The sequence below is a fragment of the Homo sapiens genome, chromosome 2 (genome assembly GCF_000001405.40).
Source record: "Homo sapiens chromosome 2, GRCh38.p14 Primary Assembly".
Lineage (NCBI taxonomy): Eukaryota > Metazoa > Chordata > Mammalia > Primates > Hominidae > Homo > Homo sapiens.
In genome coordinates, this window is record NC_000002.12 from 240243751 (window position 1) to 240257065 (window position 13315).

A 13315-nucleotide genomic window follows, 5' to 3' on the forward strand; every position below is an offset into this window, starting at 1 on the left:
GATTGGTTGTTGTATGTGTCTGATATTTATTTATAATATTTTTCTTTATCAGATTTTTGTCTTTTGCCTTAATAACAACTTGGTTATGTTGTTATTAAGCTTAAATATCTTCAGTTTGTATGTAGTTCTATCTATTGACTTTTTTCCTTTTTTTTTTTTTTTTTTTTTTTTGGCTTTCCTTTGCTTTTAAAATGTGATTTTCCCCATCAAGGGACTTAATCCTTATATTTGTATTCTATAAGCTTTTTATGGTTTGATTTTTATTACATTTAACTCTAACTTTTAAGCGATTTACTTTGATTCACTTTAGATGAGTTTTTGTGTTATTTTTCCTCCTCCGAAAATGTCTTAATTGATTATTCATTAAATAACCTTAATCTTCTCCATTGACTTATCATTTTGGCTTCGTTATATTTTAAAGATTTGCGTGACCTGCAATCTTCCTCTGGGCCGTCTGTCCTTGCACCAGCACCACACTGGCCTACGTATAAAGAGAGAAATCCTGATAGTGTTCATTTTAAAAAATATATGCTTTAAATACATAATAGGTGCAAATGGCACAGAATCAGACGGATAAAAGGTGTTTGATGGCAGACCAGTCTTCCCGCCCTGTCTCCTGGACATTCCGTATGTTACACATCAGAGATTCTCCCTCATTGATGTTTTGATTTCTGATGGGACTAGTCTTTCTTGTCACCTTGTTAGTTTTTTAAGTTTTAGTGGCTTATCTTTTTTTGTGTTTCATTCTTATATATTTATTTCTCCAGATTAACTTAGAATTGTTTCATCAAGTCCTTGGCAAAGAATTGGAGCGACATGTTAATTGGAAGGAAGCCTGTCTCATCTTCCGGTGCGTCCACGCGGAACGGCTCCTCCCTCCTGGCTTACCTTCCTGTACAGCTGACTAGAGAGTGCTGGGGACTGTGCCCCACGCCTTCGCATGTGGAAGACTAAATCCCCCGCGTGATGGCATCTGGAGGTCGGGCCTCTGGGGAGGTGATCGGGTCATGAAGGTGGAGCTCTCTGAGAGGGATCAATGCCCTTACAAGAGGAGGCCGGAGAGCCCTGGCTTCCTCTCCCTGCTCTCCACCATGGGAGGTTACAGAAGAAAACCACTGTCTGTAAACCAGGAAGCTGGTCCTCACCAGTCACGGGAGGATCTCAGACTCCCAGGCTCCAGAATTGCGAGAAATAAATGCTACTTAGTCTAGGGTATTCTGGCATAGCAACCCAAGCTAAGACACAGAGTTGCAGTTCTCCTTACGAAGTCCAGACATTTTCAGATTAAACCTTTCTTAAGAAGCGTGTTCTTATGGCAAGATTGAATTGGATTTTTGTTTTCCTTTCTCTCTCTTTTCTTTTTTTCAAGCTATTTCTGGTCTATAGTAAAAATACTGATAAACAGATATAGCTATAGATCTTACATAGCAGCTATAGATCTTATATATAAACAGCTAAATATAGCCATATTTACTAAGTTGTCAGGATTTTAAAAATATACTTTTACTTGAGTCTCAAATAAATACATTGTCTAGAAATGAGAATATTTTGTGCTTCTTTCTTCCTATTTCCTGTCTCAAGGGTTTGGCCCCCATGAGGGAGGGCCGCCATCTTGGTTTGTCCTCCAGGGGCCCCTGTGATGCGCCCGGAAGTGCAAAGTTTGGTGGTGTTGAGGAAATTATTATTTATGGCCAATACAGTGGATCCAATTTACTTTCCATATGGACTGGAAATGTCAAATAACCCTAGACTCTCCGAGCTGTGGTTTCATGACCCATAAACTGAGAGAGTTGAGTTAAAAGAAATGCTCAAATTTTTCTTGACCCAGGAGCCAGGTTTAAACACCCCAGGGAATGTCAAGCCTCTAATCTAAATCTCCAAGAACCCTGTCACTCCGTCATTCCAAGTTGTCCCTGACAACCTTTCCTTCAAATTGTTGTTTTCACAAGAAAATGAACCCTTTCCAGATCGCGCAAACACATCCCCCGGGACCAGCTCTGCTGTTGCCGCTCCCGAGGGAGGCCGCCTTGCGCAGCTGTTGGTTGGGAAAGACTTTTCCGAGCAGCTGGACCCCGGGGCTGTATGTGGGGCAGGGCTGCGGGTCTGCAATGAGTCGTGACCACGGGGTCGCACAGATGTGGTGGATTGTTTGAGAGCCGGCGCTCAGCTGCTCCGGGTGCTCAGATGGCCTGTGCATGCTCCTCGCGGTTTCTCCAGCCTTGGTCCCCTCCTCCCTACCCCCGCAGGCTGCAGCCTCCAGGGGGCAAAGCAGGAGAGGACATGGCGCAATGCAGCCCTAGAGGGGCCGAGGCTCGGCTGAAGCTGCAGAGGGGCATCCGGATGACTCTGACACCCACTGCAGTGCAGTGTGTGCACACGCATGAACACACGTGCACACACACACAGAGGACAGGATGGAGGAGACACACTTTTCTGACTCTACCCCAGACTCTGTACAGTCCACTCCTTCCCACACTCTGGTCAGAGGACCTGCCCCCCATTTGGCCACCCTCTAGGCCAAGACAGGCACAGGCACTCATGGCGACACCGTCACCTCATCTATAGGTGGGCACTGACCACACACACGTGTCCTAGGGCCTCACCCTTGGGAACTGACACTCCAAGCCTGACTTTCCTGTTCCAAAATCTGGTCCTCCCTCATCTCTGCCCCCAGTGCCTTGCCAGGCCGTCCTTCCACTAGTTAAGCCAAATATCTCGATTCCTCTCTCTCGCAGCCTCATCCCCCGGCTCTGCCCTCAGGATTTGTCCAGAATCCCACCTTCTCGCCGCACTTCCTAAAAAGTCTCCAGCCTTAGTCCACTTTGGCCAGCAGCCAAAGAGACCCTGTGGAAAGGGGGTCAGATAACGTGGGTCCCTGCTCAAACCCTCGAGCCCGGCCTGCCACATAAGCATGACTTCCTGAGACATAACACTAGAGGTGATGGAGGCAGCACGAAAGGACAGCACCACAGAGAAAGAGGTGAGGAAGGAACCCGGGAGGGCTGCCTGGAAGTGGTAGCATTGAAGCTGGGCGTGGTGAATGGGCTGCATTTCAACAGTCAGTTGTTGAGGAAGGAGCATTTCTAGCTCCCCCATGACCTTTCTTCTGGGGGCTTCTCCTCCCTCACCCCCTGATATGGTTTGGATCTGTGTCCCCACCCAAATCTCATGTCAATTGGTAATCTCCAATGTTGGAGGCGGGGCCTGGTGGGAGGTGATTGGATTATGAGGTGATTCTCTGGTTTAACACCATCCCCCTTGGTGCTGTCATGGAGAGAATGAGTTATCAAGAGATCTGGTTGTTGAAAAGTGTGTGGCACCTCCCTACTTTCTCTCTCTTCCTCCTGCTGCAGCCACATGAGACTTGCCTGCTTCCCCTTCACCTTCCACCACGATTGTAAGTTTCCTGAGGCCTCCCCAGCCATGCTTCCTGTACAGCCTGCAGAACCATGAGCCAATTAAACCTCTTTTCTTTGTAAATTACCCAGTCTCAGACATGTCTTGATAGCAGTGCAAGAACTGACTAGCGCATCCCACCCCAAACCCTCACTTTGGTGTCCCCTGATCCTGCTGGAGGTGGACAAAGCCCAGCTCTGTGCCTGCTGCACTTCTGCGGTGGAGCTCATCTGTGTTTTCATTCTGGTGTAAAAGCTCGTAGAAGCTTCACACTACCCCATGTGGTTTCATTTACTTGTTGGCACTGAGCAGGGCAGATGTGTGCGTAGGGATTCCTGCGGATCCATGCTGCCCTGGAGCACCGAGAGAGGGGTCCTACCTGGGAAGCACTGGGCTCCTGGGAAGGGAGCAGGGGAGATGTGTATAGAGATTCCTGAGAATCTGCGCCACCCTGGAGCACTGAGAGAGGGGTCCTCCCTTGGAACCACCAGTGTCCTGGGAAGCAGGCAGGGGAGCCTCTAGAAGCCAAGATAACTGATAGATGAGGGGAGGGCACAGGAGCCGCTCTGGGGCCTGGGATCGCCACCCTGTTGGGGAGGTCAGTCTGTAGCCCCCGGACCCTCCAGCTTATCTGCACAGATTCAGCTCTGCCTGGGGGAGGTTGAATGGCACAGCACAGCACCATGGTGGGTCTTTCTGTACTTGGGGAGACAGGACCTGCTGGGATTCTTCTTCCTGGAGGCCCCGAGGCTGGCCCCTGGCCCAGTCTCTCCAAACCCTTCTGTCTGTCCTTTCAGAAAGATGGAGATGCTGGTTTTTGGCACACTGCCCTGGGCATGCGTCTTTGGGCCTTTTAGAAGCTGGACGGTCCCCCAAGGGGGAGACTGGCTCAGTGCCTACGGGGTGGGCCCAGCCACCTTATAAATGCTCTTCCGTGGCAATGAGAAGCCCCTAAGGAGCGCTGCCGGGGCTGGGGGTTGGGCTGGTGACAGCGTGGCCCCCGTCTGGCAGCAGGCTGGAAACAGGCCAGGGCTGCCCAACCTTCCCAGTGCAGGCCTAGGAAAATCGCGAGCCTCTACAGGGCTCCTGCCTCCCTCCCAGGCCCATCCACCCCCTGCTCCTTCCCTGAAGGTGGGCCCCAGCCAGCCAGCTGGCCAGGAGCTCCAGCAGAGAACTATGTGTGTGGGGCTCCAGGGCCAGGGCCCTGCCTGTCCTCAGGGGCAGCTGCCTCAGGGTTCACTCTGCAGAAGGGACCCTCTGAGTTCATATTCTGCCATCATCATCCAGCACCAGCTGCAACCAGCAGCTGCTAATGCACAGGGGACACCTCCAGGGAGCAGAAGAGCTACAGACCCAGCCCCTGTGGCTTGGCCCAAGTGCATCAGTCCCTGGGCTCATCTGGACATGGGGCGTCTGCAGTTTCTCCCACTTCGAGGCTCCTTTCTTCCCTTTCCCGCCCCAGGTCAGGGATCCAGGCACGTGGGCTGTGGAGTGGGCTGGGAGGTGCTGGGTCTGTGCCGGCCGAGTGGGGAAGGCTAGGGGCTGTGCCAGCCAGCATCTGTCACCCTAAGGGTTGTCCCAAAGACACCCCAGGTGCTGGGATAACCGCATCATGCTCCACAGGCCCTGCCTCACCCTCTGCAGGGCCTGACCAGGCTTGGAAGAGAGAAAGTGGACCCATCTCCCTCAACTGCACACTTGTGACGATGATGCCTCCTCCTGTCCCGGCAAGCTCCAAGCTGAGCTTTTCCGTGCATTTCCCAGTTCATCTTCAACACCAGCCCTGAGGGAGGTACCATTATCCCCAGGTGAGTATGGGGGGCAGAGGGGCTGAGGCCCGCCCACAGTGAGTCACCAGCAAGGGCAGAGCCGGGTTCTAACTAGAGCCTGTCAGATGGCAAAGCCCAGGTGTAACAGTTTTCCATGCTGTGTGACAAAGAGCCACAGCCCCATGGCTTAAAGCAGCACACACCAGCTTAGGCTCTGTGGCCACGAGGCTGGGCAGGCCCAGCTGAGTCCTCTGCCCAGGGTCTCACTGGGCTTCCTCACGGGTGTCGGGACATGGCCTCTTCAGACTGCTCAGCTGGGAGAGACTCCTGGGCGTCCGAGTCCCTTCGGGTGGGTGGCGGGGGGACAGGTGGGACCCAGGCCTGGGCTTCGCTGGCTCTCTCCCAGAGCCCTCAGGTCCCAGAGGCAAGCCCAGGCTCCCTACCCCATGGGATCTCCCATGTGGCTGCTTCCTTCCTAGGGTCTCTCCCTCCAGTCTTCTTGGACAGAGTCCTGTGTGCCATCTCCCGTCTCCTTTGCACGTTCTGCAGTGGAAGCAAGTCCTGTGGCCGTGCTGCTCCACACACTGTGTCCTCCCAGCACAGGCCTCTGCCTGCCTCAGGCTACATTCCCAACCTGTTTCCCCACCAGGCACCTTTGCTGAGCCCAACAGTTACGTCTGCAGAAGGAACCGTCCGACAACGAGGCCACCCCATGCTACAGCCTGCACCGTGCACCTCACTGGCCGCACGCCCTGCCTCCGTCTGTGTCTTCTCAAAGCCCCACCTGCCTGCAACCCCCGCCCTCTGTCTGCCTGGGCATGCTGGAGGGCCCTCCCTGTAACAGGCTCCCCGGCCCTGCACCCTGGCTCAGCTGACCTGGCTGAGATGGTCTCAATGCTCACAGGGGAGATAGGGAGACCTCATGCTGCTTCTCCAGGCTCCCCTGACCTCTGAGTGGGGCGGATCCGTTTCTGTCACACTGAATGCATTTACTGTTTCCCATTTGGACTGAGCCAGCGGAGCACTGAGACCACGCCACACAGGGCCAGCCTGGGAGGAGAAGGGGCTCTTGTTTCTGCCGGGTCCTCAGCAGCTGCACAGTCTCCTCCTCCTGGGGCCTCCCTCCCTCCCAGGCTGCGAGCCAGTGGTTGAAGATTTTCTCTGGAGGCATTTTCAGATCTGGCCTAGCACGGCCCCAGGTATCCCGTCCTACCTGCCAGGTGGGCAGGGACCTTCCTGAGACACAGTACAAGGGAGTAGGCCTTGCCCCAGGGAGTTCTGGCTGGGGGCTCCTGTGGGACAGCTCTGGGGACCCCAACACCTGCCCTGGGGACCTCCCCTTCCCACCTCCTGAGACACTGCTGGGTCCCTCTGTCAATCACATTTCTAGCTCTCCCGCCTCTACCAGGCAGGCCAATCAGATGGTGCCACCTCCTCACCCGCCCCACCTTACAGTCATCCCTGCAAGGGTGGGATTGACAAGGGGGAAATCGGCCCAGCTTGGGGTGGAGGAGACGTTGATGAGGATCCTGGGAGACAAGGCCACCTCTTCCCAGCCATGGAGACTCCTGGGATGGACCCTCCCTCCCTTGACCCCCATAAAGGAGAGTCTTTGGGAAGGGAGAAGGAGGGCTGAAGAGGGAGGAGGGTTCCCACAAGAGTACAGCCCAAGCACTGCCGCGGCAGTGGAAGGCCCCAGCCCAGCCACACGGAGTCTCGAGGCTGAGGACAGAGAAGGCACCTGGGTGCAAGGAGGCCCTTGGGTGTAGTTTGCAGTAGGACCAGTGGGCACAAGCGCCCAGGATGAGAGCCACAGGCTGACGGAGCCCCATGTGAAGGGGTAGAGGTCAGGGCAGAGGGGGACCCTAGGGAAGGCTCAGGACCCGTGCCTGGAGAGGAAGACCCCACGGCACCCACTTTCTGGTTCCTGAAGCCTTCCTGGCCACCACACTGTCCCGTTCCTGACCTGCCCAGGGTGGGCACCAGGGCTGGGGCTGGCCACAGGGACCCCTAGGGTCAGACAGCAAGTCCCAGCTGGTGCCACTCTGGCCCCCACCAACTGCGTGGACAGCCCTCACCCCCGCTCAGCCTCCCTGAGAAGAAAGGGTGGGCACAAACCCTCCGCCCCCACCCATAAAGGGCATGAGGAGAGGGCCCGGTACCCCTGAGCCCAAGCAGCCGGCGGAGAAGGGGCTGCAGAGGCCTGGCTGCCAGTCCCTGGAGATGACCCAAGGTGCGTATGACCAGCAGGGCTGTGACCCCTAGCCCAGCCTGGGCTGACCACACGCCTGCAGGAGGCCACGCCTCTGGGTAGTGATGAGAAACCGCAGCCTCAGAGTAGGTGGGTGTGGCCTGAGAGCATGACTCACGCTGGGCTGCCCGGGGTCAGTCACGGGCTGGGTGAGACCTTTGTGTGCTGAGCCTGGGGCTCCCCACACTCGAGTGGTCCCCCGTGGCCTCACAGAGCAGCCTCAGAGGCCAGCCTGCCACCCCCTCATCCCACACAGAAGGAGGCTGAGTCCTCAGCGGGGGAGGGGCTGGTCATCCCATGGCCACGGATCCCGGAATAGCCGACCTCCAGCCCCCGCGCACGGGTACATTCTGTACGCCCAGGGTGGCTGGCGTGGGTGGCGGCTGGCCCTGAAGGCCGGGGGCTGTGTTCCTGTGGCCGACTCACTGCCCTTTGCCCTTGGTGAGCAAGTCTTCCCTGGGCCTGGCTGCTTCTCTGTAAGACGGAGGCCCAGCAGGGTGGGAGGGGACATCATGACCCCGCAGCACTGAGAGTACTTTGTAAGCTGGGAAGTACCGTGGCTCCGCCAGGGCCATGGTGACATCAGCCATTCACTACTGGCTGGGACTGGCAGATGTCCAGGGACCAGGCGAGGAGGGAGAAGGAGTCTCCCTGCACCTTCCCGCCCCAGCTCTCCCTCCCTCCCGCTCCCACTGCCTCCCCATCTGGGAGCAAGCCCTGGTTTAGAGATTGGGGTTTGTGCTGGGCAGACAGAATCAGCAGTGGCTCTCTCCCCCGCTCCTCCCCCAGGGGTGCTGGGCTGGCCCTTGGGGTTGAGGGTGACCCAGAACTTGCCATTGGCTGCCGGGTGACAGCCCCATCCATCTAGCTCACCCTGGAGCTGGGTTTGGGCACTGTAACATGTTGCAGGAGACCTGTCGGAGTTCAGTGCCATCCACTCCATTAGTCATAATTATTTTAATTAAGAAGATAAGAAACACAACTCATCAAAGGTTTAATTATAATTAGCAGCTAACGACACTCGGATGAATCACTGGCCCGAGCAGGTGCTCATTCACACTTCCCAGTTCACTGGATGCGCCGTGGGAGCCGCTGAGACGTGGGCACAGAAGGCACATCTCCCTGGGACCCGAGAAGGCAACAGAGCCCCCGCATCCCCCCAGCACGATGCAGAAGGGCTGGGCCCATAGCAGCTACCTGTGTGGTCACTCAGCCCTGAGCTCAGAAGTGCCGGGGCTCAGAGGACACCCTGCTGTTGCCACCGGGCACCCTTCACCATCTCTGAACAAGGCCTGGGATTTCTCTGTGACCTAGGCCCCCACAGGGTACAGTGGTCCTGACCCTACATCCATGTACAGGGAATGCTGACCGCGGCAGCTCCGTGTTCACAGCCCTGGACACACAGAAATGACTGTGATGTGGCCCTGACCTCAGTAGTGTAGAAGGAACCCACTGAAGGAGACCGAGGTGGGGAACCTACAGGGCCTAATGGAAACCCCAGCTGGGTGGGTGGCGGCCATGCAGCTGGGAGTGAGTGTGAGGGTGCCTGGGGATGGAGACGGTGCCGGGGATGGAGACAGACACGGTCTCCATGAGAAAGCTGGGCTTAATCCTGACAGAGGGAGGCGGCCTGGAGGCCATACAGGGAAGAGGGGCTCAGGAGGTTTGGAAACAGGATTTCAGGACTGCCTGCGCTGCAGGTGGGTGCTGGCCACTGGTCTAGCCTGATCTGGCACCCTGGTGGTGCATGCCATTGGAGGGGCTCCCTGTATCTGTACTGTGGGGCCTTCCTGTCACAGGGTGGGCTCACAGGTCCTGCCCATCCCTGCATGGGATGTGGGTGAGCTTTGCTCTGAGGAGGCCGACGTGAGCCTCCTGATCAGCCGGACACAAAGTGGGCAGAGGGGCACCGAGCCCCCGGAGGCTCTGGGAGTGGGAAACCACCGATCTGTATGAGCTCAGGTGCCTCCTGGGACAGCCTGGAGGACAGTGGCTGTGAGGGGCTGTCACTGCAGCTCATGGTAGGCAGCCCACCTTCCCATTCAGAAAGGCTTTCCAGAAGGGGACGGCTGTGGATGAACAGGCAGCGTCCTCCTGTCCTGTTTCCATGCCTCTGACCACCCTCTACCTCTTCCCCTCGTCCCCTAAGCAGGCGTCCCTGTGAAGCGGCTACACAACCAGAGCGGGGCTCTAGGGGAGGGTCCTGGCACCTCTTCCAGCACCCAGTGGCTCCCGGTTTCCCTGGTTTGTGGCCTCTCTGCTCCCGTCTCTGCCTCTGTCTTCATGCGGCCTCCCTACTGTGTCTGTCTCTGTCTCATTCTCCTTTCTTTTATGAAAACACAGCCATTGGATTTAGGGTCCACCTTAAATCTAGATGATCACGCCTCCAGATCCTTAACTTAATTACATCTGCAGAAACCAAATAAGGTCACATTGTTAGGTACCAGAGATTAGGGTGTGGCTGTGCCATTTGCGGGGGATCACTCCATAACCCACCATGCAGCCCTAAGCTGTGTGACCGGCAGCAAGTCCCTGTCCTTCTTGGGGCCTCTGATCCCTCGCATGTGAGCATGAGCCCCCCTCAGAGGGACACATAAGGGATCAAGTGAGTCCCACGTTCAGTGTGGTGCCTGTCATGTTGTCTAGGGGTCTCTGGGTTCTGCGAACCAGGAGGCAGAATTAGGAGCAAGAATTAGGACCAGATGGATGGGAGCTGACACTGTCCCAGTGTGACCAGGGAAACAGATCTCTCCAGGACCTCGACAGCATGCCCTGGGCAGAGGCCGGTTGTCATCACCCCGTAGGGCTCAGGCCTTCCCTGGCTTCCCAGAGGGAGGCAGGATGAGATCAGTTCCAAGGGTCCTTCCAGATCTCGCAGAAAGTGCCCTCGCTTTATTGCACCTCCATTCAAGCTGAAAGAGATGGCCAACCAAATTAGCCCAGGATTGAACAGAAATTGATTTTAATTTAAAGCCCTTTGAGTGCTTTCTCCTCTCAGATGAAAGAAGAGTAGGCTGAGATGTGTCTCCTGTTGCCCCATAACTGTATCTGAGCCAACTTTCAGCCCCACACTGTCTGCTCCAGATGAGGCAGCTTTTCTCATTGTCTCTGGGTGGTGACTGAGCTTTACCTCCAAACTGCAAAGGAATCTCATTCTTTTATTCCAGTCTGGTGCCATCGCACACACTCTGACACATATTCCCCTGCACTAAGAGATGAAGGTTGAACTGAGCCTTCCAGAACAGTGCAACGCAAGGGGCTGAAACAGGGGCCTGGGTCCACCATTCCCTAATCCAGGAGGAGCGACATCTGAGAGTCCCCAGCTCAGACACTTCCCTCCAGGGGAGCGGCCATCCCTGTGTGTGATGGACGGCGCAATCCCAAATGCACTGGCTGGGAGATTCTGGAGTCGGGAGCTCAGTGGCACCACCTTCGGAAGTTCAAGTTGAACACCTAGGAGACTTAGAGTTGGCACCGTGTTGGTGCCATGTGCTTAGCGTATGGCGCTGTGTGCTTAGGAGAGAGCCTGGGTCATGAGGATCCCCATGCCCCAGGGGCCCCTCTTTGGCCCTTAGCCCCAAATCCCATTAACCAGGCAGGTGAGGCCAGGGACATGTCTGTCCCTTCTGAGGCCCAAGCCCACTTGGTGTTCCTCATGGTGCGGCATGCAGGCAGATTGACCAAGATGGCTATTGAGGCTGGAGTCCCAAGCCCCTCACCCACGCAGGCTGGCCAAGAACCTGGAAGGAACCTCAGGCCCCACAAAACGTGAAACCATGGCTGCCCATCCTTCTTCCCCTAGTCCTTGAAATCCATCCCCTCCATCCATCCAGCCTGTGAATTTACCCCCAGGCCAAGGAGCATAGCTGCAGAGCAAGGGTCCCTCCTGCAGGGTCAGGCTCTGGAAGGTGACCAGAAACCCCAGAAACCCCACCCCTGCCTCCCCTCCCTAGCCATGACCGTAACTCCCACTGCACTGAGAAAATCAAGGGCCAGAAGCCCCTGCACCACCTCCCCCACTGCAGTAAAAGAGGGGTTCGCCCTTGCCCCCATCGCCCACCAGCACCCCCTTCACCCTGGTCACAGCCTTGCACCATGGGGCACCGCCTGCATCTCACCCCAGCCCTGCCCAGTTCCTCTGCCCTTGGCATTTTAGCTGCTCCAAGTGCCTCCTTTCTCAGAACCGTCCCCAGACCCTGCATCCCGCTAGCGATCTTCACCCTCTCCCGCTCCTGGTGGTCAAATCTTTAAAAGACCGCCTGTGTTTGCCATGCCTTCCTTCTGCCCTCTCAGTGACCAGGTCTCCAGGAGGGTCTTTCCTGAGCAGGTGCACGACACGCCTCTGAGGCCCCCCTGCAGCTCATGCTGCCTTTATCCTTGTGTCAGAAGCTCTTTTCTCTGCTCCCAGACTGATTTTGGAAGGCTGACTTTTAGAAATGATGATGCTATTTGATCCAAGGGTTTCAACAGATCATCTTAAGCCTGGAGCCTAGAATAATAAAACTCTAGACTTGAGGGACCTGCAGAAATCATGTGGCCCCAAATGCTGATGACACTGTGCAAAGTGTCATGAGGGCATGAAGGTGGTTTTCATTATGAAAGCTCAAACCGGTGCCCAGAAAGGGGAAGCAACTTACCCAAAGACGCACATTGGCTTAGCTGAGCTGGGACTGGGCACCACAGTCCTGATCCCTGGCTCCACCCTGTCCTGAGATCGCTCTTGTGTCACCAAATTTCTGCCTCTTTCCGCGACAGCGCTCCACTTTCTCGTCCTTACAGCTTCCGTAGAAGCAAGACGAGCAGTTTTCGTTGCTGAATTTTGAACATAATAAAAAGAAAAGTGCTTTCAAGGACATTGAGTCTCTTCAGTTGGTGACTCCCGCAGCCTGTGATGAAAGCGCCTTGCTTTCTGCCCAGGGAGGTGCCTGTGCATACCTGGAATTGTACACATTCCTTTGGATCATGTGTCTGAGCAAGTTTCCTCCTGAGATCAAAGCTGGCGAGGTGGACAGGCCCCTTTGAAGCTTTACGGGGGTTTTCAGAGAGGCAGGTCCTGGCAGCCACAGAGTTTTTGCTCCCAAGGAAGAAAGAGGTTGGAAAGTGGAGCCCCAACACCCCTGTGGAGGGCTGTTACCTGTAGAAATAGTTTTTCTCCATGGGAGCGCTTGCTGGCCATGCCTGGCATGGCTGCACTCAGGGGGCACGTGTGATTTCTGCCTGTCTACCATTCATTCCCTTTCTTAGGGAAAGGCTCTCTGTGTTTGCTCTGAAAATGACCCTCTCCCCAGTCCAGCAGCCCTGGCCACAGACACATGACCCAGTCGGGCCAATCAGCACCGCCCAGCTCGGGAGACAGGGACTGGATGGGCACATGACCCAGGCGGGCCACTCTGATTCCTGAGAGTCTTGGAAGGTTATTGAAAATAGAGAGTTGCTCTATGCCTGGAGCTTCTTATGGCCATCATGTCTACCTGGAGAGACAGCGTGCCCAAGAATGAAGCTACCCAAGGGGAAGCAGAGCAGAGATAGACAGGCAGATGGAGACAGCCTCTTTGGAGACCCTCCATGAGCTGCTCCACCCTCGGAGCAACAGTGAGCAGTGGGATCCTCCATGTGCTGCTCCACCATCAGGGGCGACAGTGAGCAGCAGGATCTTCCACGTCCTGCTCCACCATTGCTGGTCACCGTTGCTCCAAGTCTAGCCCCTGTGGCAAATCCATGGCTCGGTGGTCAGGATTCATGCCTGTGCAAGTGACTAACATCTGTTTCAAAACTTACAATGTGACAGTTGACTAGTTTATGGAATCAGAAAATGTAAGGGGTAGATGGGTTTCAGGCACAGCTGGATCCAGGAGGTGAGTCTGTCATCAGATTGCTGTCTCACTGGCTCCCGATGGTG

The 13315-nt window shown here is 55.7% G+C and overlaps 1 long non-coding RNA gene across 1 annotated transcript, besides 3 other annotated features; it reads right to left on the reverse strand.

Annotated features, from left to right (window-relative positions):
- Positions 7496-8009: an enhancer, noted in NCBI's record as "H3K27ac-H3K4me1 hESC enhancer chr2:241190663-241191176 (GRCh37/hg19 assembly coordinates)". NCBI's record gives its function as "activates a minimal SCP1, AML or CMV promoter by ChIP-STARR-seq in primed H9 embryonic stem cells {active_cell/tissue: H9 hESC(primed)}" and the evidence as "EXISTENCE:reporter gene assay evidence [ECO:0000049][PMID:30033119]".
- Positions 8010-8521: an enhancer, noted in NCBI's record as "H3K27ac-H3K4me1 hESC enhancer chr2:241191177-241191688 (GRCh37/hg19 assembly coordinates)". NCBI's record gives its function as "activates a minimal SCP1, AML or CMV promoter by ChIP-STARR-seq in primed H9 embryonic stem cells {active_cell/tissue: H9 hESC(primed)}" and the evidence as "EXISTENCE:reporter gene assay evidence [ECO:0000049][PMID:30033119]".
- LOC105373968 (uncharacterized) lies at positions 8359-12703 on the reverse strand. Its single transcript, XR_924057.3, has 2 exons — positions 12352-12703; positions 8359-12228 (listed from the first exon to the last, which is right to left on the reverse strand). It is a non-coding gene; the product is annotated as an uncharacterized LOC105373968 (long non-coding RNA).
- Positions 12582-12876: an enhancer, noted in NCBI's record as "tiled region #2002; HepG2 Activating DNase matched - State 1:Tss, and K562 Activating non-DNase unmatched - State 22:ReprW". NCBI's record gives its function as "activates a minimal TATA promoter and a strong SV40 promoter by Sharpr-MPRA in HepG2 cells, with weaker activation in K562 cells {active_cell/tissue: HepG2 | K562}" and the evidence as "EXISTENCE:reporter gene assay evidence [ECO:0000049][PMID:27701403]".